The following is a 23,335-nucleotide window of genomic DNA, read 5'->3' on the forward strand; positions in this document are numbered from 1 at the left end:
TTCTAACTGGTGTGAGATGGTATCTCATTGTGGTTTTGATTTGCATTTCTAAAGAGGAAATACTTTAAAACTGATAAAATACTCACAGCCAAATGTTAGTAATAGCACATTTGCTGTTTGTGGGGTGTATGTAGCCAAAGCAGGCGAGGATTTAATACATTTAGTCAGAAAACAAAGATTAAAAAAACAAGAAAAATTAAATGTTTGCCTTAAAGAGCCAGGGGAAAAATGCAATAAACAGATGAAAAACAAAATGAAGAGAGCGAATCTGAAAGATACAGGCAGCCCTACGCTGTCCGTCGCATCTCTGCATCCATAGGGTCTCTGCTTCATTTCCTGGGAGTCCTGCCAGTGTGGGAGGGGGCGTCCAGGGCCTCTGAACACTCTTCTCACAGATTTTCATCTGGGCACTTGCTCTCAGTTCTTCTTTTCAGAGAGCCAGTTGTCTCAGTTCTTGATACTTGCTGACAGCAGGCTTTGGGAGGTGAGTGCTTCATTTTGACTTTGCACCGTCCAGGTCAAAGGCTTCACTTCTCTCACCTCTGCTGAGCCACTTACGCTTGTCCAACTGTTTCTTAACGTTTGGTTGACATTTTACAGTTACAGGGATAACAGTAGCTAGCATTTGTCGAGCGTCACTGGAGCCATTCCACTAATGCACTCATCTAACACCACACGCCTGTAAGGTTTGGACTGGCGTTAGTGCTGCTTTCAGGATGAGGAAGTTCAGGTTGCTTGGAGAGTAGCTGGTGGAGTCAGGATTCAAAGCTGGGTGCCCAGGCTCCCGAACTGACAGCCTCAACTCTGTTGTTCCGCCTCTCTCTCTCCTGCCCAGCGTCTCTCATTTGCCATGATTTCCTTCCTGGGGCTCTCCGTCCTTGTCCTGTTCTTTTTCTCTCGTTATGGAGGAAGTTGAGATCACTATCATCTATAGTCTGTCACGTCTAAATAGAGGTTACCACGACTTACTTAACGTGGTAAAGGCTACATCAGAGCTCTTCAGCAAACCAGCCTAGTGGGGAGACTGGAGACGTCTTCCCTTCGAAGCTGGGAACAAGGCAAAGATTCTCTCTCGCACTAAAACAGTATTAGAATTCCTGACCCCCAGTAAGATAACTCCATAACCAGCAGAAGGAATGTGAACATTTGTAATTATCTGTTTACAGTAAGGGCCATCTAACATAGTTCACTGATTCTAGCATGTACTTTTTAAATTTTTTTTAAGACGTGATCTTGCTTTGTCACCCAGGCTGGAGTGCAGTGGTGTGAACACGGCCCACCGTAGTCTCAACTTCTCGGGCTCAAGCAATCCCCCCACCTCAGCCCCCCAGGTAACTGGGACTACAGGTGTATGCCACCATTCTGACTAATTTTTGTATCTTTTGTAGAGACTGTGTCACCATGTTGCCCAGGCTGGTCTCGAACTCCTAAGCTCAAGAGATCCTCCCACCTCAGCCTTACAAAGTGCTGGAATTACAAGCATGAGGCACCATGTCTGGTCCTTTTTTAAAAAATAGAGACAGGGTCTCTCCCTTTTACTTAGATGGGAGTGCAGTGACACAGTCATAGCTCACTGCATCCTTGAACTCCTGGGCTCAAGTGATCCTCCTGCTTTAGCCTCCCAAAGTGCTGGAATTCCAGGCATGAGCCACCACGCCTGATCCCAGCATGTGCGTTTTCACACTTAACATATCTGGGGTCCAGAAGCATCTTACAATAAGTAACATACCTGTTTAGTTGGCAGTTCTTTTCCTTTGTTAATAGTGTATAGAAATGCTTGCAAAGGTCCACCTAGAGGTGTGCACTGTACCCTTTCTTACTGCTGTTTGTAAGCTCACTGTTTGTCACTAGGGAAAGAAACAGGCACCATTACTTAACTAGGTGTTCATGTACCGGCAATAATTGATCTCAAAATTTAATGCTATTTGTAGTTTTTAATTAAAAAACTCTCAAATGTATGGTCTAAGTTTTTCTTTAAGTCCAGAAAAAAAAGAATACATTAAACCCTAAGTAAGTAGAAGAAAAGAAATAATAAAGAGAAGAGCAAAAATAAACAGAAGTTGACCCCAAAATTTGTAAAAATTCATGAAACTAGTTGATAGTTTTTGAAAGGTTCATTAAAATTGTCAAAACTTTTTCTAGAGTGCTCAAGAAAAATAGAAGGAAGATACAAATGACTTTCATCAGAAATGAAAGAGGGCACATCCTTACTGATCCTACAGATGTTAAAAGAATAAGGGGCCAGGTGCGGGGGCTCATGCCTATAATCCCAGCACTTTGGGAGGCCGAGGCAGGTGGATCGCTTGAGCCCAGGAGTTCAAGACCAGCCTGGGCAACATAGCAAAACCCCATCTCTACAAAATATAAAAATTACTCGTGCGTGGTGGCATACGCTTGTAGTCCCAGCTACTTGGGAGGCTGAGGTGGGAGGATCACTGGGAGGCATTGAGGCTGTAGTGAGCAGTGCAGTGATCACGTCACTGTGGTCCAGCATAGACCACAGAGTGAGACCCTGTCTCCAAAAATGAAAATTATAAGTAAATAAAAGGAGAATAAGGGAATCATTTTAATCATGAAGGACCATATGCCAGTAAATTCTTCATCTTAGATGCAATGGATAAATTCTGTGAAAGACACAAGTTATCAAATCTGACAGAAGAATAAAAAGAAAATTTGGATAGGATATATCTGTTAAGTAAATTAAATTTCTGGTTAACAACCATTCAAAGACAACCCCGCACCCAGATATCTTTACTAGTGAATTTTACCAAACCTTTAAGATGAACAGAATAGACAGACAACCTTTGTGAAATGTTTAAATATCTGCTGACCATATTAAGTTGCTGTCCCAAGGCTCGGTGTAATTAGTAATGGTAAAAGCTAAGAAAATCTTTACAAGGTTACTGCCTAACTGTTGACTAATTTGACCAAATTTTATGCACCTGGGGCCTTTTACAAATCAGCTTACTTCCCTAAGAAAAAGTGTTACTTGAATTTTTTTTTTATGATTTTATTTTATTTTATTATTTTTGAGACAGAGTCTTGCTGTGTCGCCAGGCTGGAGTGCAGTGGTGCAATCTCAGCTCACTGCAACCTCTGACTCCCTGTTTCAAGTGATTCTCCTGCCTCAGCCTTCTGAGTAGCTGGGATTACAGGCACGTAACACCATGCCTGGCTAATTTTTGTATTTTTAGTAGAGATGGGGTTTCACCATGTTAGCCAGGATGGTCTCGATTTCCAGACCTCGTGATCCGCCCGCCTCGGCCTCCCAAAGTGCTGGGATTACAGGCGTGAGCCACCGCGCCTGACCACGTGAATTTTTTTTTAAGAGCAGCTTGCCTTTATATTTTTGGTTCACGTTGGGACTTACCTTCTAGTCATTTACTGTTGGCTCACATTTCCTCTTCTCCCATGTCTGTCTAACGGGAGAACCATGGAGTGCGTGATCTCACTTGGGGTCTCAGTAGGCCGCTTAGTGAGTCCCAAAGACTTTTGTGAGAGTTTGAATGCATCCGTGTGTAATGTATCTGGAGGACTCAAGGGTAGCAAGTATACACAGAGTATCCTTTTAACATAAAAGGAGCATTCAGAAAAGAATTAAGACTGTGCAGTTCAGCCCACAGTTGGGCTCTCATAGCTACTGAGTTATTCATGTAATCCTCGGAAATCAGCTTGGGTGAAATACTGCACGGGAAAGAGTGCTCAGCCCCGGCCTCACTCCTGCCTGTCCCAGGCCTCCTCACTGTCCGTGTCTCATGGGAAGAAAGTCATTTGTTGTCTCCTGCTTGATGTCATCATCACTATGTTCCAGATTAGCTTCAGGACTTGTTTGAAATCATACCTACTAATCGACTGACTTATATCCCCATCACACGGTGACATATTAACTGCTTATTTGCCTCTTTGTATCTTCTTCTTAAACTTCTGGGCATTTTAGTGGCAGTTTGGCTTCTTGTTTGATTTATGTGCCTAAGCGTGCTCATGCCTCCATATTTAATCAGTGACGTTAGGTCACATTGCATGCAAAAACTGTCAGTGCATTCAGCTCCGTATTTAATAGCAGGCATTCATGACCCTTTTTTAAATAAAAAAGCGATCATTTGATTTGTGCTAAACTGGACAGTATATTGCGGAAGCCATTTTCATCCTCATTTTACTTGTGCTGAGATCGAATCGATAATGCCTCTTGATGGCATCATTGTTGGAACGCCAGAACCGTGCTGTCACATAGACCTGTATGGAGGGTGGCATGTGTCCCACGCCAGAGCCATGCCATCATGTAGGCCTGTGTGGAGGGTGGCATGGTGTCCCACGCCAGAACCAAGCTGGCAAGTAGACCCATAAGGATGGTGGCATGGTGTTGCCAGCCTTGTTGTAAAATGGTGTGAATTAATCCAGGAGACGTTAGCCTCTTCTTTGGTTTCTCGTTATTTGTACTGCTAAGTAAATGTTGTATATGTATGTTCAGTACATAGAACAATTTAAACTGGATTCAGAAGCCATTTCAGTGCACTCTGAGACTGGGCATTAAACCTTGCTTTAAGTACTGTCACCACAGTCACTGAGAACAGCCCGAGTGCTGCTTACTTGCAGGTTGAAAGGACTCTGTGCAATGAGAACTTCTGAGTTCCCATCCTGTCCCAGGTAGCCAGTAAACACCTAAGTCATGAAGGTTATGAGACACAGTCCCTGTGTGCCCGGAAAAGAGGGTCTCCAGGGAGAGGTGCTCCCTCTCATCAGTGCTCTTCTTGGAGACAGAGGAGGGAGTAGGGATACTCCTTCTGCTTGCCTTGGAGGCAGAGGCGGCATCACTGCTGTTGGGGTGTCCTCGTATCACCCGCTATGATGAGTGAAATTTCACCAGCAAGAGGAGGTGGAGAAAGGCATTGTGAGGCACTCACCCTGACCTGCTCAGAGGCCTGAACGCATCTCGACCAGCAGCCCAGTGTGGCATCTGAGTGAAGGATGGTGGCCAGGACACGAGAGGGAGGGCGGGGTCCGTGACCATGAAGCTCGAGCTGGAATTTCTTCTGTTGGCAGTGCCTTCTTTGTGGTAGGTGCTGTGCAGCTGCAGGGCTGGCCTGGCCTGCAGAGCCAGTCACACGGGGGTCTCCACCCTTGTCTCAGCCCACTAGTGCTGCTGCACAGGCCCCTGAAACAGGGTAATTTATAAAGAACAGAGTTATTTCTCCCGGTTCTGGAGGCTGGAAGTCCCAGGTCAAGGCATCGGTGGGTTTGGCGTCTGGTGAGGGCTGTTCTCTGCATTCGAGGTGGCGTCTTTTCCCGTGTCCTCCTGGGAGGACTGCTGCATCCTCACATAGCAGAAGGCAGAAGGCAGCAGAGGCTATGTTCCTCCAGCACCCCCGCCTTAAATAAGGTTGCTAAAATCCCACTCAGGATGGCGGAGCCTTGGGATGTAACCGTCATCTAAAGCCCACCTCTTAGCACTGTCACTTCGGGTCCTCAGATCCAACAGGAATTTTAGGAGGGACGTGCCTTCTCAGCGTAGCAGCCCTCTGGGAAATGAAAGCCTGTTTGAGAAGACATGTTCGTATCTCAGCAGCAGCGTGGTCCGGGCTCTCCTGAGGAAGGTGCCCAGGGCATTTGGGGACACAGAGGAGCAAATTTCATCCAGCAGGGGCAGCTCACTGTGTGGGTGAGGCTTAGAACTGGGCATGGCGGTGGCTGTCGGATGGACATGCAGGTTCAGGATCCAGGTATGTCTGTCACCTACCATTTCTAATGGAGGACAACGATATCATCAGTTGTGAACACATCTTCTCTGTTACTGTTCAAGAAGCCATGCTGTTTGCATTCTCTAAGAGGAAAATCGCACTGCTGGTAGCACCTTCAACCTGCAATTCCTACTTACCCGCCTCAAACGCTTCCTGTCTTCACTTTTGCTGTCCGCAAGATCCCCACCTTCCAATCCACAAATGTTTGTACTCAAATTTCCCCAGCAGAACCAGCAATAAAGCACAGAAAGCAGCTGACCTAAGCCCACCCACCTCTTTCCTTAAATCGGGCATCTTCCCCTTAGACAGAGTGTCTGGTTTGCGCTGCTGTCACCACTCAGCTTCTCCCAGCATACAGCGTGTGCTGCCTCTCCTGGCCCGGGGCAGTCCCCTGCCTTCCTGCCATTCCAGCAGCTCTCCCGGAACCATCGAGGTGATCGCTGCCTTCTGAGCCGTCAGCCTCACTGGCCTGTCCCTAATCCTTGCCCCTGAAGAGTCCGCTGCAGAGCTGAAGCAAGGGACACCCCCTTCAGCACCTCCTTCCCTGCCCTGGGGTCTGCGGCTGCCTCTCTGAAGCTCCCACTCTCTGGCCAGCCTCTCTTCCTGCACTTGGACGTATGTTCTCCCACGGCTGTGTTCTTGGCCCTCCTCTTGACGTACTTCTGCCTGTGAGAAACTGCAGCTCATCCAGCGATCACTATCCTGACCCCTCTGAGATAATCCCTCCTTCCTCACGCTCTCCCTCTGCCAGCGCTTTCCTCGTCATATACACCTGCATAAACCTCTCATGCCTGAAACAAAAGGTCCACCCCAGCAAGAGGGCACTCCCGCCGCCCGCTGGCCCTCCTGGGCCTCATTGCCTAGTTCTTTCTCTCCAGGTGCAGTTAAGCTTCAGGACGGAAGGGGGTACCTCCCAAGCCTTTCTGCCCTTCCTGTCCAGCCCTCAATATTGTAATCAGGTCTCCTCAACCTAGAACGCCCCCTCTCCTTCCCAGCCCCAGGTGTTTACCCTGGTTGTTTGTGTTTCTTGTTTTTCTGTGTAATGGAAGGAAGGTATCACCTGAGAGGCCTTAGGAATGACACAGGAAACCCTGCTGCCTCCATTCAGACTTGGGTGGGGTGGGGGTGGGTGGAGGCCAGCTGGCATCTCCCAGGATTTCTGAACCCTCGTGTCCCTCAGCCAGCCACCGCCATGCCCAGCTCCAGGCCTCGCCCCCGATATGGGGGAAGCTGTTGCTGCTGGATCTGACGTGCCCGTCTTCTCGCTCGGGCACCCCAGCTGGTGCGTAGCGAGGCAGTCACAGCTCACTGCAGCCTCGACCTCCTAGGCTCAAGTGATCCTCCCACCTCAGCCTCCCTGGTAACTGGGTCTATAGGTGCACACCACCATGCCTGGCTAATTTTTCACATTTTTTGTAGAAATGGGGTCTTGTTATATTGGCCAGGCTGGTCTTTAACTTCTGGCCTCAAGCAGTCCTCCAACTGCAGCCTCCCAAAGTGCTGGGATTACAGGCCTGACACTAATTTCTGCACATAGAGGTGAGGAGGCACCTCGGGTATCAGGGTAGTGAATGAGTGCCTGGACCACACAGGCCAGAGTCGAAATCTGTTCACCTGCCTTAATCTGCCACTGTTTGGCTGCTTTTAAAAAATAAATGTACATCTTTGTCTTGGATTGTCTTCCTTAATATCACATCCAAAAACTCAATACTAGCAATTTTTCAGAAGACCTCGATGTTTTGGGCAGCCCTTAGACCTCCCTGTCACTTGACCCAAATGGTGCTGGGTTGACCCCAGTCCAGCAGGGACCACCAGTGCTGTCCCCAACATGACTGGTTCCCCCTGTCTCTCCCCCCACATGCCTGGACCCCCTTCCTCTCCCTCCACATGCCTGGACCCCCTTCCTCTCCCTCCACATGCCCTGTTCCCCTTCCCCTCCCCCCCACATGCCTGGTCCCCCACCCCTACCCTCCCCGCCCTTGTCTGGTCTTCAGTGCCTCCCTGATGAGGGGCAGCTGCCCCCATTCTCCTGCGGCAGCTTCACCAGCCACACGGCTCATCCAATGGCTTGGACCTTGTTTCATTCACTAAAGCACCAGCTCTAGCACTGTGAGGTCATTATTGAGTTTGTAAGCAAAAATCTTCTTAAGGAACAGACTAATGTGTATTTAATTTTCATTATGTACCAGGTACATATTAAGACTTTTTGTTTCTTTTAATCTCAGTAATTCCTGTTTTATAGTTCCATTATCCTCATCGTGTAAGTGAAAGGTAAGTGGTGGCAGCCGGACATCAAGGTGTGAACTCGCCTGGGGCTGTACAGGGGCAGAGCCAGGGCTACGATTTGAACCGGGGTTTTCTGACCTGAGCGCTCTTCTCTTCATTACCTTCTGCCTCCTCCTTCTCACCACTTAAGTGGCTTCATGCATGCAGGGCTTTTAAAATGAGATTTTCTCAAAGAGCCGTGTGTCTGCAGGTGGCATGCGCTGGCACTGGGCTATTGGGAGGCACAGAGTTGTTCCTGGGTCTCTCCCACTGGAGAAAGCAGTGTGTTTGGCTGAGCCAGTGACACAGGGCTGCCCGGGAGCGGCACCACCACTCTTGGGACAGGTGGGCAGGCGCTGTTGATGTCCCTGGATGTTGTCCCTTCACCTGCAGTTTGTCACCAAAGCCCCGAGGGACTGTGGTAGAGACACAGCTAGTGGGGACTTCTCTGTTCGCACAGAGACTCTGCAGTTGCAGCTACATCACACTCTGGTAAATAGCGCCTCTGGCAGTGGGTTTTAATATCCACGTTGGTTGTTGAAGCAGTATATTCTAGGGGTGCCTGGGAAGACAGTCGTTTAAAATGTCTCTGCTTTTTATAGGTCAGTTTTTCTTCTTCTTTCTCACTCCCTTGCCAATTGTTGGACTTAAAGTTTGTTGGAAAGGCCCTTCCTTTATTTTGATTTGTGCCTGTGCTTTGCTCCAAGGCAGGCCACTGGGGGCATTTTTTACACCGAGGACTTGGTTGGAACCGTTAACCAGTGGCTGGCTGGTCTGTTTGTTTACAAGGCAGCCCCGCAGCCTTGTTCTGAGCTGGCTGGCTCCTAGATGTTATTTGGATTTGCTTCCTCTGGCACCAGGCCCTCCTCCAGGCAGGCGCTTGGGCAGGCTGGTGGGACTGATGGGTAGCCTTGCTGGGGACGTGTAGTCACTGTGGCGCTGCCAGCAAACTGTTCTTTCTGGAAGAGGAACGCTTGGTGCCTGGGTGTGTTCAGTGTGTTCTGTTGTGCATCAGAGCTCCCTCAGACGTCGACCGCTTCTGATTCCCTCCAGACAGCTCCCGGTGGACACGCAGGGCTATGCGGCCTGCCCTGGGGGCTATGGTGCTGAATCCTGACAAAGGCCCTCTTCTCGGGCTGTCAGAAAGGACGAGGCTGAGTCAGGCTTTAATGTAAACCATCACTCCCTGTTTTTCTATTTCTTCGTTGAAAGAAGCACTGATCATTGTGTTCACTAGAAACACCTCAAGTTTTTAAAAGGCTCCTCTCCTGTTGGTGTGACTCGAGGGCGCTGTGACATCCTGAGAAAGCGGGGACTCTGGGAGTCTGGATGTCAAGCTGGTCCCGTCTCCACCCGCCTTGAGTTCTCGGTTCTCGACAGCGCCCGTGTGATGATGATGCTCACGCTCCGGTGTGACACAGACGGCGCGGGAGCTGCACGGGAGAGTGCTTTGGAAGTGGAAGCCGCAATGTCATGTAAGCTGTTGAGTATGAATTGTATCATATTTCACAATCCACAGAGTATTCTCCCTTATGGTGTCACATTTGCTCTTACTAATAACCCAGGACTTGTCAAAGCAGACGTAGTGCATAAAACATCACTGTGTTACTGATGAGGTACCAGATGCTCCGCGTGCGGCCGTCTGGGGTGGACAGCTTCATTTATGGCAGAGCCAAACAGGAGCCCGGATCTTCTGATCCCAAATCCCGTATTATTTTCACTATTCCATGCTGCCTGCCTTCACCAACGTGAGCTGAAGTTATTACATGTTATCACTTTACTTGATGCCGTGCCGTACTTTACACGAGAACCAGCTTCCCGTTGGGGACTTTACAGAGCTTTCGGCAGGGACAGTAATGGGGGCGGCCCCTGGGAAGCTGTGCAAAGTAGCATTTGCGGCGCCACATCCCGCAGTGTTTCCTGAGGACTCGCTGTGTGCAGGGGACCGTAAGATGCCACAGAGAAATCAAGGAGGCTGCGGACACAGTGTCTGTCCTCAAGTCATTCATCATTCCCTTTCTCTGCCCCTCTGCCGTGGAAGGTTTTCAAGTAATTAAGCTGCTTGCTTATATGCAGCTTTCCTCCACGGGCCCCGCCTGTGCGTAGTCGTGCTCTGGCAGAGTCTCTGCACCTTCCTCCCTCGGGCTCCTGGGCCTGTGTCTGTCCGTCCTCCACTGTCTTGCTGTCTGCATCTTCATGGTGTAAGTCTGGCCCCTCAGCCGCCCCACAAGCCTGGCCCGGGGCCAGGCTTCCAGCCGCTGCTTCAACCCAAAGGTGGAACACCTGTTTCCTGCAGTGGAGAAGATGGGAAAGCCTTTTCTGCAGGGCTTTTACTCCCACTTCCTTCTTGTTTTCAGCCATTTTCTCTGTGCTGTTTTTCTCCTTTCTTCCTGAGACTTTCCCCTTTGACTTGTTCTTAGTCTTCTTTCTTTCTCTTTTGAACAGGTAGCGGTCTTGTTATGTTGCCCAGGATAGTCTCAAACTCCTGGCCTCAAGCGATCCTCTCGCCTCAGCTTTCCAAAGTACTGAGACTGCAGGTGTCAGCCCCATACCCAGCCAGTCTTCTCTTTTCTTTACTTTGAGTTTAGGCTTCTTGAGTTGTTTTCTTCTTCTCAGATGCTTCAGGGGGTAGCTGAGAATGTTGAAAATACTAAAGTGCAGCAGAAGCAAGGAGGCAGAGCCAGCCCTGGTTTCCCACTGATGATCAAATTTCTTTTTAGCTCAGAAATACTGGCTTATGCCTAACCCATCAAAGGTGCAGCATTGTTGGGCACAGGATGAAAAACAGACAGCCCCCACGTTTGGCTGTCAAACCACATGACCCAGAAATAGCCATCATTGTAAGAACCCCAGAGGGAGCCTTTGCTATCTTTTAATTTATTGCACAAATAATATTATAACAGTAAACAATGAAAAGGAAGAAATGAAAGAAAAATTACCCAGAATCCACTGTTTTTGCTATTCCATATTCTTCATACATTTGTCCATATATGCACATAATTTTACTTACTTGGAATTAAATATATTTTGTATTGTTTTTAATTTGAAGATCACTGATTTTATATTGCTATTGATATTTTCAAATTTAGTATTCCATCACATTTATAGACAGTATTACTTAATCATTTCCCTCTCATAAAATTATAGTGCTTGCAAGGAGTTTTTTCCTGTTCATCTTTGCGGTACATAGAACCTTCCTTAGCTGTCCATGGTAGCATGCAGCTGTAGTCTCAGCTACGTGGAAAGCTGAGATGGGAGGGTCACTTGAGCCCAACAGTTTAAAGTTATGATGAGCTATGATTGTGCCACTGTACTCTAGCCTGGGCAACATAGCATAGAGTAAGATCCTGTCTCTTAAAAGAAAAAAATAATAATATTTTCTTATTTTGGACTATTTCTTAGAATATGTTTCTGGGAATAAGATCAGTAGGTCAAAGTATATAGCTCTTGATATCTTTTGCCAAACTTCCTTTTTTTTTTTTTTTTTTTGAGATGGAGTCTCACTCTGTCTTCCCAGGCTGGAGTGCAGTGGCGTGATCTCGGCTCACTGCAAGTTCTGCCTCCTGGATTCAAGCGATTCTCCTGCCTCAGACTCCCAAGTAGCTGGGACTATAGGTGTGCACCACAATGCCCAATACTAATTTTTGTATTTTTAGTAGAGATGGGGTTTCACCATGCTGGCCGGGCTGGTCTTGAACTCCTGACCTTGTGATCCGTCCGCCTCGGCCTCCCAAAGTGCTGGGATTACAGGTGTGAGTCACTGTGCCCGGCGCTGCCAAACTTCTTTACTAAAAGGTTGCTCTAATTACACGGCCCCAAATCACACATATATGAAAGTGTCATTTTCAACACAACATTATTTTCAGAGAGAAAATGTTCCTTACTTTGCATATTGCAGGGGAAAGACTGTATTCTGCAGGTCCTGTACGTGACTGCAAGAAAGGACCAGTATTACAAGGCCAGAGACAGAGAAGGCCCCACAGTGACATCTGGACCGACCAGTATTACAAGGCCGGAGACAGAGAAGGCCCCACAGTGTGACATCTGGACCAAATCTTTTTGGTGAACCCAAGTGCTGAGTTATTGATCAGGAAGTGAAGGGGGAGGCCGGGCGTGGTGGCTCACGCCTGTAATCCCAGCATTTTGGGAGGACGAGGTGGGCAGATTACCTGAGGTCGGGAGTTCAAGACCATCCTGACCAACATGGAGAAACCCTGTCTACTAAAAATACAAAAATTAGCTGGACGTGGTGGTGCACACCTGTAATCCCATCTACTGGGGAGGCTGAGGCAGGAGAATCGCTTGAACCAGGGAGTCGGAGGTTGCAGTGAACCAAGATGGCATCATTGCACTCCCAGTCTTGGCAACAGAGCAAGACCCTCTCAAAAAAAAAAAAAGAAAAAAGAAAGTGAAGGGGGAGCGGAGGCCAGTGTGGGAGGAAGAGACAGGAAAGGTCATCTGGATAGTAAAGATCACCTGGTTTCATGTTATTTCGAAATTTACGGATAATTTTAGATATGTGGTTGAAAACTATTAAAAACTTGAATATTCAAGCAGGACTAGAGAAAGTGTCTCTGGTATGTCTTCATTCCAGCCGTCCTGCTGTGTGTGAAGTGGTATCTCACTGTTCCGCTTTGCATCTCCCTAACGACTAATGACATCAGGCATCTTTTTATGGGCTTATTGGCCTTTGTTGTTTTTTTTTTTGAGATGGAGTCCTTTGAGGTGGGAAAGTTTTATTTTATTTTGGTAAAGTCCATCTTATCTATTTTGTTGTTGCTGTCACCTGTACTTTTAGTGTCATGTTTAAGAAGCCGTTGCTTAATCCAAGGTTATGAAGTTTGACGCCTGCGCCGACTCCAGCACTTTTATAGCTTTAGCTGTTACGTCTAGGCCTTTGGTCCGTTTTGAGTTAATTTTTGTAAATGGTGTGATGAAGTCTTAAATAAGCATAGCTTGGACTTTTGGATCTATTTTTAACTTTGAGAATGTTTTCTGCAGGAATGGCAGAAATAGATGTATTGCTGGAGTGACTTTGGAACTGTATAAAGAAAAGGTGAACGCCAGAGGCTGAAGAGGGAAGGAGCTCTTTCCCTAGCAGGTTTCTGTGTAGCGAGCATCCGTGGCTGGGGTTAAAGTGTTATTTCATTATGCAGTTTATCAAATGGGAAAAGACAAAACCTAAGGGCATTTGTATCTACTCCATACCATAAAAGTTTGCCATTTTACTTTGATCATATAACAACTCTGAAAAATACTGTTTTTCATGGATTAATCAAATTACCAACATTACTTTAAAATCACACCGAGTCACTCTTTCTGTGCCGCAAGGTGCTAGGCCAGTGACATCTCTGATCTTGGGAGCCGCTGTTAGGAGCCTGATGTTAATGACAGATAAAAATTGATGTCAGATAGAAAATTAACCTCCTTCAGGGTATGTGAAACTGCTTCCCCTAATCCTATGTTCTTCCTTAGCAAACCGAATGCAACCCAGGAGCTCTGAAGAAGGAAAATGATCAGCTGTTTATCTGCTTGGCACCCTTTGGAACAGTCATTTTCCCATCTCATTTGAAAGCAGCAGTTAGAAAAATCACAAAGAAATAGTCTTTCTAAAGTTTTCCTTCCATTTTAATTCTTTTGTGTTTTTCTTCATCACATTTTCCATACACCCCACACGATTAAAGAATGGTCATTCTGCGTTTCAAGGGGCCCAGGCGGGAGGATCACTTGAGACTAGGAGTTTGAGACCAGCCTGGGCAACATAGCAACACCCAGTCTGTACCAAACTTTCTTCAAAAAATTAGCCTGGTATGGTGGTGCGCCTATGGTCCCAGCTTCTCGGGAGAAGGAGGCAGGAGGATGACTAGAGCCCGGGAGTTCACCACTACCGTGAGCTGAGATCATGCCACTGCACTCCAGCCCACACAGCAGAGTGGGGCAAGACCTGGTCTCTTAAAAGAATAAAATATTGACTGAGGATCAGGACGGTAAAATCACGAGACCTCAGAGAAGGAACAACTGTCGTGGCACCTCATGTGCGGTGTCTGGCCGCGGCGCCTGCGAATGGGTTTTGCTCTTGGTTGTCTTGGAACCAAACATCTGTGTGCTGGCATGGACTGGACATCGCCAGGTGTTTGGACCATATCTTTGTGGTTTAGCACAAAACCAAGACATACAGTTTGTACCTGTCATAGTCACTGGAGAAGCCGTGCTGTTAATTGATACAGAAACACAGCCGTGGGCTGAGATGCACCTTCTGAGCCCATGGCTGTCCTCAGCCTCATCACAGACCCCAAGCTGAATGGTCCTGCCGGACTAGGCATGAGGGCTGGAGCTCATGTGTGCGCCCGTAAGCTGGCTTTCCATTCAGTGGTTTCAACTTCTGCCTGTAGAAACACCAAAATTGTCCATGAGGTAAATGAAAATACATCCCAGGACACTCTCACTGTCCTCCCATTGTCTGGTGTCTTGTTGAGGGCTCTGGCCAGGTCAACAGGCAACTGTTTTGTCCTGTGAAAGTGTGGCGCCTCCGTGGCTTTCTGGGAGAACCGAAGAGAGAGACTTGCAGTCGGCGAGGAACTCCTTGGCGCAAGCAGCGTGCGGATCTCCTCATGCTTCTGCCGTGCCTACGTGCACTGACGTCGTCACAGGTGGGGGATAAGATTCCGTCGCGGTCGGAGTTTTCCTGTGTGAACATTGAGATGTGCAATTCCGTGACCGCAGGCACTGCCCCTCCGACACAGTGGGGTTCATCTGCTTGCGGAAGCCTCTTAAGGGCGGTTGGGAGAGACCCTCAGTGGCGCATGTCTGGAGGCTGCTGACCTAGCGTCGCAACCATAGACCAGGAACACAAGCAGATAAAAGCAGCAAGTGGGACAGATTGAACCAGCTCTTGGCATAGTTTCCCACCCCCCAGCTAGTTCAGGAGTCTGTGGACAAACTGTGTTTCAAGCATGTTGAACAACGCAGTGTGCATTTCCAAGTTCATTGGAAAATCTATGTGAGTTCACTTGTTTGCCACCAGAATGCCAGGAGTGAGCTCCGTTCTCGGGGTGCTCTTCCTTAGCCCCCAGTTTTTGCGGTGGCTTAAGGCTCTGCAGGAGTCGGGGGTACCCAGGCTCCACTCCTTGGCCCGACTCCATGCTGTTGCGGCTCTCATCTGCTGTGGGAAACTCGCTCCTCGTGGACATTTTCCACGCCTCTGGCTGGATTTCTGCTCAGTAGCCTTCAGCCAGCGGTGTTCTCATCGTGTCCATCTGCTTCTATTAAGTTAATGGGCACAGACACACGGCCCATAAAGCAGCTGGATCAAAAGTCTGGTTCTTATCAGACGACTTAATTGATAAATGTCGCAATCACAAGAAGCTGAAATGCTGTTGTGCAATGACTTCCAGAATGGTGTTCTGGGCACGTCAGCTTCCCTAAGTACAACTGGAGCCGTCGGTGGAGAAGAGCGGAAAGGGAGAGTTCAGTTGGTAGGAGGGAGGGGTCCAGCGAGAGACAGGGATGTACACGAAGTCTGTTTAACTTTACATATTGGGTGCAGAAACCACCACGGTTTAAATGCTTAGGAAGACAACTGGATAGACGGTGGTTTGTTTCTAGCCCTGATTCTGAACTCATCTGTCCTGAAAAACAGTTGCTGACACCCTCTGACCCTCAGAGGCGGTCCGGGCTAGAAGGGGATTAGTGGAGGACATCTCGGCAGGGCTGCTGTAGGCGGATGTTGTCCAGTCAGAGCGGAACCGTGACCTGTGATACGTATACTTTTCATTTTTGCCGTTTATGCTATTTTTAGATTGTCTTTATTTTACATATTAGGAATTTGCACACACGTCAGGTGAGTCGTAAGAGTCACAGAGGAAGTTCCTTCTTAGCCTGTGGCAGGGTGGATCCTGCAGCTCCCTTCCCCCCTCACCCTCCCCCCGGGGGGCCTCACTCACACAGCCCCTCCGGCTCCCTTTCTTTTTATGAGCTTTCACCTTACTCTGTTTTCCTCTTTTCTTCCTGATTTCCCTAATTGAGTTTGAGTCAGTGCATTGAGCGTGCGCTCTCAGTTGTCAGGGGTACACACTTGTGTGTGATTTTTTATGTGGCTGAGATGCACCAGGATCCTGTTGCCTCAGCCCACTGTGGTCTTTGGGTGCAGAGGAGGGTTCTTATGCCCAGCCACTTAGCCAGCAGGGTAGCTGGGGGTGAGTTTCAGAACCTTCTGAACCTCAACTGTCTCCCCTCCAGGGCAGGAAGGATAATAACACACATCTAAGCGGGGAGGGTGATAATTGTGCCCATAGTCTAAATCTTTCTCAGATCCTCCGGTGACATTGCCGGGTGGCCTGAGCTAGGAGGAAGGGTGAGGACTTAGGCAGATGGAGGACTGTGCATTTCAGTTTTTTGTTTTAATTAATTTTTTTAACTGACAAGATAACTTAGAGGGATTTTTTAAATTGGCAAATAGAATCTTCAGCTTTGCCTTCGGTTCCCTCATCGTAGGGTCAGCTCGTGGCTGCCACCCCAAGACAACACTTCCTCCCCGTGGCCGCCCTGCGGTTCCCTTCTTCCCGGAGGGTACCAACGAGCTAGGCCTGGTGCTGCCGAAAAGGAACTCAGGAAAAGGTTCCAAAATTTTTAATAGGAAGAATTTCCCAAGTCTAAAATACACAGAACTTACTCAAAAAGGGCCCCTTCTTGTGGATATTTTTAAGAGTACATTTTGCCACGCTGTCTCGCGTGGGGCCTCTGCAGCAGCTGAGACGTTTGGCAGTTTCTTCAAGACTTGGAGTAAAACCTCGCCTGAGATAGAATCTAAATACACTGGGCTTGGATCGCCCATTTGACTAAATTTCGATCCCAACTCTAGCTTTCAGAAACCTCCTTATAGGGAGAGACCTATTGCTATGGGAAGGCAAGAGAAATTAATGTCTGCGTTATTCCAGCAAAGCCCCTGCACTGCGCTGGAGGGACTTTTGTTTGCGTCTTTGGGTTGCAGAAGGGGCTATGATTGTGCGTGGCTTATCTTGGTCTCCAGCCCAGTTTAGACCTCCTTCTAGCTGATCTCTTCTCTCACTTGTACTTTGGAAGAGAGTCAGGGCTTGGCTTTGGGTCACCAGGCGTGCAGCCATGTCAGAGCTCTGGAGCCACCTCGGTTTTGTCCCTGTCACGGGGATTGACTGATTCTTAAATGATCTGCGCGAGGCGGCCCTGGAGCCTACAGCAGCACCGTTCCCCCAGGGTATCGCTGGCCTGTGTTTCACATAGGGTCAGCTCTTCGGGGGTTGTCACTGAGTAGTAAGTGCTGAGCCCTCCTGTCCCTGTTTGCAGAGGCAGCGGCTGGTTTCTGGCTGGCCAGTGATTCCTCCACCCTGTGAACACACGTGGAAATTGACACGGTGGACTCTGGGATGTAGGGGAAGGCTCTGGGTCAAGGGCATGGCTTCTTTATATAGAAAGAACAAGTCAGATGGCAGGAAAGATATAATGGTGGGTCATTTAAGTATTGGTTCTTTGTAATTTAAAAGAATCACTTTATTTATTTATTTTTTTATTTTTATTTTTTTTTAAAGAACTGAGTTTTATGGGTTTGCCACAAAGCCATTCTACATCCCCGACAAGAATAAGAATAGGTGAGGACCCAGCAGTCGCATGTGAAAATAAACGGTGTATTTAGCGGGAAACTAATGCCTCTTGCAGCCATCAGGCACTGTTTTCCCTTGATCCTGGAACACCTTGGTTTCCGGGGATCTCAGCCCCAGCCGTTGCCCCATAGCTGTTCCTCAGCACCGCAGTCGTGGAAGCCCTGTACTGAATTAGAACCGAGCAGCCCTGGCTCTCAAGGGGTCACGGGGTGAGAGGACCAGAGTTCTGCAGGCATTTTCACGTGAGAAACTCCAGTCCTCTGTGGCTGTCCCACTTCCTGACAGCTTGGCTTCCTTCAGGCAGCCTGAGTATTATTCCCATCTTAGCTCTGTCGGTATGTAGTATAAACACAGTCCATGTTATTGATAGTTTCTTAGGTAAAAACACATTAATATTTGAATCGGGCCAAGGAGCACGGAGAATCTGAAGTTGTCGCAAACAAGCTGGCTGTAAATGGGCTCCTCCAGGGCAAGGCACACCCCAGAGCTACTGGGGGAGGTGGAAGCTTGCTGTGTGTTGTGTGTGTGTTTCCTGTGGTTGATGCTCATAAGCGTTACCTCCGTGGAAGAGGTTTACCTTTTTAGGAAAGAGTTGGTTTTCTGCTTTTGCAAATTTGTACCAACTGTTGATCATCTCAAGGACAGTGGAGAAGGGACAGGCAAGGAGCCTCCCTTTCAGTCTTGGCATTCTTCGAAAATAGAAGGTGGCTTCCTTAAATGATTTCCCGACTTGACTCATCAATGTAGGAATGCCTGTGTTGACACTCTCTTCCCCCTCTCTCTCTCCGTCTCTGTCCCCATCCCTTTTACTTTTTATTATAGGACAGTTTTCAACCATTCTGTGGAACAGTTGAGAGGATGATAAAGTGAACCCTGTATATATTAAATCACCTACATTTTACAATTATTTGCTCTGTTGTTTTGTTTTTGTGGGTATGTTTGCTAAATTACAGACAACATGATGTTTTACCACCCAAATACTTAATCATTTCTTTTTTAAAAAACTGACATTTTTCTTATAACCAAATTATCTTAACTTTTTAATGTCTTTTGAACCCAAATGGCAGAGCCCTTGCAATTAGCCTTGTTCCCGTGGAAGGTGTATTCCATTGCCGGCCAGGCTCATGCATCCAGCAGGCGCCTAAGGGGCTCCTCCGATATCCAGCCAGCTCTGACAATGGGGCCGTAGCCCAGAACAAGGCAGATGGGATTGGCTCATTATGTGGGTTGGCAGAAAGCTCCGATGAGGTGTTCATCTGTATTTCTCTTACCAATGGAATAATTGTTTTTCCTTTTTGCTAGCTTGCTTCTGTAGCACGGAGGGCCACTATGAAATAGCAAACTCTTGCACTTAATTTGTATCTTGTCCTGCTTACCGGCCTAGAAGCTCCTAAATAGAGTAAACTTTTCTGTACATTACAAAGTGCAGCTGTTTAACGTTTGCAAGTTAGGAAAGTCGCTTCTACTTGGTTTTCTTCTAATAATACTAAAAGGCATACTTTTTTTTTAAGGCAAAGGATCTCACTGTCACCCAGGCTAGAGTGCAGTGGCACGATCATAGCTCACTGCAGCCTTAACCTCCTGAGCTCAAACGATCCTCCTGCCTCAGCCTCCCGAGTCCTCTGACCATGCCCAGCTAACTTATTTGTGGAGATGGGGACTCAACTGTGCTGTCCACGCTGGCCTCACACTCGTGTCCTCAAGTGATCCTCCTGCCTTGGGCTCCCAGAGTGCTGGAATTACAGGCATGAGCCAAAAAAAAAAACACATACTTTTAAATTTAGTTACAAATATCGCATGATTTGGCACATTAATTTCATGTGGGGATGTTTAGTTCTTTGGGTTTTTTTTAACCTGCTGGATTAAATGAAATGCTGAGAGTTGAAGAAATTGGCTTATTTTCCTTTTTCTTTTCTTTTTTTGAGATGGAGTTTCACTCTTGTTGCCCAGGCTGGAGTGCAATGGCACGAACTCAGCTCACTGCAACCTCCGCCTTCTGGGTTCAAGCAATTCTCCTGCCTCAGCCTCCCGAGTAGCTGGGATTATAGGCACCCACCACCATGCCCAGCTAATTTTTTGTATTTTTAGTAGAAATGGGGTTTCACCTTGTTGGCCAGGCTGGTCTTGAACTCCTGACCTCAGGTGATCTGCCCACCTCAGCCCCCCAAAGTGCTGGGATTACAGGCATGAGCCACTGTGCCCGGCCTATTTTACTTTTTTTTTTTTTTTGAGACAGAGTTTCGCTCTTTTTGCCAAGGCTGGAGTGCAGTGGCGCAATCTCGGCTCACTGCAACCTCCGCCTCCCGAGTTCAAGTGATTCTCCTGCCTCAGCCTCCTGAGTAGCTGGGATTACAGGTGTCCGCCACCACGCCTGGCTAATGCTGGTTTTTTTTGTTGTTGTTGTTTTGTTTGTTTATTTAGTAGAGACAGAGTTTCTCCATGTTGGTCAGGCTGGTCTCGAACTCCCAACCTCAGGTGATCCACCCGCCTTGGCCTCCCAAAGTGCTATTTTAATTGTGTATTTATTGCCACTCTGAGCTATATTTGAAAATTCCTTTTGTGAAAAAGAATATTTAAAACCAGACACCTCCAGCAGTTTGCTGTATCTCTGTATGACTAGGTTAAAATGCACAAGTCTGTGAAAGCTTCAGTGACACCTTCATCAGTGTAAATTCTAGAGACTTCACGTGCCAGCTAAGGTGAAGTAAGCCACCTACAGCCTCTCTGTCCCGCTCATTACAAAGAAAAGCTCTGGTCAGGATACAGAAAAGCAACTACCAAAGGCTAAAAATGAGCAGGGATATTAGGGACTGGAGTCAAAGTCAGATAAAATATAGTGATGAATCTCTAAATGTAAAACATTTTATTTGGGAAGCAAGATTTACAGTCGAAGGCATACAGGCAGACCAGGTGGTCTTCAGTATATCTTGATGAACAAATAAAAGGTTGGCAGTTTTAAAAAGAGGAGAACTGTTTCGTGTTGCTCTTTGAGAAGGTTCTTCGGCACTAGTGAGGTTTCTGGGGAGCTGGCAGGTTCCCGACTGGTGAGTGGGTGAAATGAGTCCTCGAATCACAGCAGGTTGTGTCGGTTGCCATTAGTGAAAACTGGTTTCAAGTGGCAGCAGGCAGTTTCCGCGGCCAGGCTGGCAGAGAACTACATTGCTGGAGGAATGTTTTGTGGCCCGAGTGCTTTCCCCCGGCCCCTTGACTCTGACTGAGTTGGGTATGACAAGAATGACCCAGTTTGTATGATCAGCTCTCACAGTGACAATGACAGTCATGATGGGGATGTGTTTTGAGGGCCTTTTCCTCTCCTTTGCCGAGGAACTGCACAGGGAATGCTGATGGCGAGACCTCCAGGGAAGCCACTTATGTCTTCACCACTAGAGAAGGGGGGACTCTGCATGTTGGCGAGAGCAGGGGGGTGCCACACTCCAGCACATCGTGTGTTCACCTTCTAACCGGGAAGCTCTCCTTGTTCAGGAGTTTTCATAGAGCGTCTGTCCATGGGGAGAGGAGTGGCTAGGTGGGGTGGGTGGTGGTGTCCCGGAACCAGTCCCCCAGGGATACCCAGGGATGACTGTATATGCCCGGACCAAGTCCTGAAGGTCATAGCAGAGGCCGCTTCTGCACAGTGGGGTGGGAGAGTGAAAGTTAGACTGACGCACTTTTGCGTGACACATGTCTGTATGATTTGGGTTTTTATAGTGACCGCCATTTGCTTTTATTCTAAAATAAATCAGCATGATTCAGTGTTGTGTAAAAGATAAATATGAAAATGCTAAGCTATCTCAACATGGTGGGTTTATACAAATTTTTCACTTTTTTATGGTAAATACATGTGGGTTTTTTTTTAATTAGGAGGAAACAAAGGAATTTTCATTCTCAAAAATGAAAACAGCATTCAATAGTTATTTGTATGATATTTGACAAGGTTACCGAGCTGAACATTAATTTGTTCTTCATTGTTAAAAGAAAACTCTAGGCAAATTGAATACAACAGAGTTTAATTGAGCAAAGAACCATTCTTGAATCAGGCAGCCCCAGAACCAGAGTAGGTTCAGAGTGACACCGGCACTGCCATGTGGCTGGATACCATTCATGGGCAGAAACGAAAGTGACTCCGGAGAATGGAAGAGCCGCAGCAGCTGGATTGGCTACCGCAGGGGGTCTGCCTTGCTTGAGCCCAGTTCGAACAGTTGGCTGCCTGTGGTAGTCTGAGACTCAGCTGCCTGTCACAAGACCAGGCTGTTTATACATCAGGTTGGGTTACAGTTCACCATGTATATGGAACCATTAGGCCAAACATAAAACATGTACGGAGGCAGCCTTTAGGCGAAACTTAATTTAACATCATAAAAATCTTGAAGCCACTTGTTTGCGTACCCAGCCTGGATCCGTCACAATTCTTGCTTCATGCCACACTCATCACTAGTCCATATTTGGCCTCCTTTTAAGCAGTTAATTAACAGGTATTTTTATAGCATAATGGGTTTCCTCAAACCACCACCCAACCAAAACCCAGCCCTTGATGATGACCTGCGCCCACCACGCAGGGCGCCCTTGATGCACACGCACCTGCCGCCCCCGCCCTGTGACCACCGCCCTGAGTGCCGGGCTCATCATCCCTTCCATGCCCTTTCTACATTGCTACTATGCATCTGTGTGTATTCATTAAGACCATTACTTTTCTTTCAGATTTTAAATTTATTAAAGGCTTTAGTGCTGAATGTGATTTTGAGGACTCTTTTAAAAAAATACTTTTGGTTGGAATGTGGACATTTCCCACTTAGCATTGTGTTGCTCATGTTCCTCCATATTGATGTGTGTTTAGCTAGAGTACCCCCGTCTAACTCTGCGAATATGCCACACTGTGTGCACCTGCTACTCCTTAATGGACACTTGAGCTTTTTCAGCTTCTTCCTTTATTTGTTTGTTTTGCTTTGCTTTGGTGTATTGTATTTTATTTTTGCTATTACCAACAGAGATACTTTGAACATTCTTTTCTGTGTGTTCTTTTGAACACATGCAAGAATTTCTTATATATTGAAAAGCAGAGTTGCCGGATCATAGTGTATAGGAACATTCAGTTTTAAGGGATCATGGTAAGGTGCTTTCCCAGTGGTTGTGCCATTTTACACTCCTACAGTGGTGATGGAGACAGCCTATGATCCACATCCTTTCTAGTTCTTGGCATTGCCATTCTTGTACATTTTTGCTGAGTAGGTTTAGAATGATATCTCGTGTAGCCTGGATTTGCGTTTCTCTCATATCGCATGATGTTGAACATTTCCTCACGTTCAGTGGCCATAGTTATGTCCTCATCTTTGAGATGTCTGTTCATCCATTTTTCTATTGGATTTTTAATGCTCTTGTGGATTTATATCTAGGTTTTCAATCCTGGTTATGATGGATATTGCCCCCACCTTTTTGCTTTTCATTTTAGGACGACTACAAATGTTAACAAGTTTGTGTGTCATCATTACTTCATAGATCCCCTTCAGCGTCTCTTGGAGTTTTCTCCCCTCTAACTTTAGCTTGTCATCTGAAAGTGTCTTCCTCATGAGTCTTTTTGTGACAAGTCTTCTGAGGCCATATGTGCCTCTGAGAGTATTTTTGTCATGCTCACACATTTGAATGACAGTTTGGCTGGATACAAAATTCTAGGTTTTAGCTTCCTTTTCTTCAGTAAATTAAAAA

The 23,335-nt window shown here is 47.2% G+C and overlaps 1 protein-coding gene across 2 annotated transcripts in view, besides 3 other annotated features; it reads left to right on the forward strand.

The window, feature by feature from the left end:
• Positions 1-23,335, forward strand: part of RPTOR (regulatory associated protein of MTOR complex 1) — a 421,531-nt gene that overhangs the window by 220,014 nt on the left and 178,182 nt on the right. The gene's annotated exons all lie outside the window — the stretch shown is intronic.
• Positions 10,297-10,366: an enhancer, noted in NCBI's record as "active region_12943". NCBI's record gives its function as "activates an Ori minimal core promoter by ATAC-STARR-seq in GM12878 lymphoblastoid cells {active_cell/tissue: GM12878}" and the evidence as "EXISTENCE:reporter gene assay evidence [ECO:0000049][PMID:35858748]".
• Positions 14,622-15,122: an enhancer, noted in NCBI's record as "H3K4me1 hESC enhancer chr17:78753273-78753773 (GRCh37/hg19 assembly coordinates)". NCBI's record gives its function as "activates a minimal SCP1, AML or CMV promoter by ChIP-STARR-seq in naive H9 embryonic stem cells {active_cell/tissue: H9 hESC(naive)}" and the evidence as "EXISTENCE:reporter gene assay evidence [ECO:0000049][PMID:30033119]".
• Positions 15,639-15,838: an enhancer, noted in NCBI's record as "active region_12944". NCBI's record gives its function as "activates an Ori minimal core promoter by ATAC-STARR-seq in GM12878 lymphoblastoid cells {active_cell/tissue: GM12878}" and the evidence as "EXISTENCE:reporter gene assay evidence [ECO:0000049][PMID:35858748]".

The sequence above is a fragment of the Homo sapiens genome, chromosome 17 (assembly GCF_000001405.40).
Source record: "Homo sapiens chromosome 17, GRCh38.p14 Primary Assembly".
NCBI lineage: Eukaryota > Metazoa > Chordata > Mammalia > Primates > Hominidae > Homo > Homo sapiens.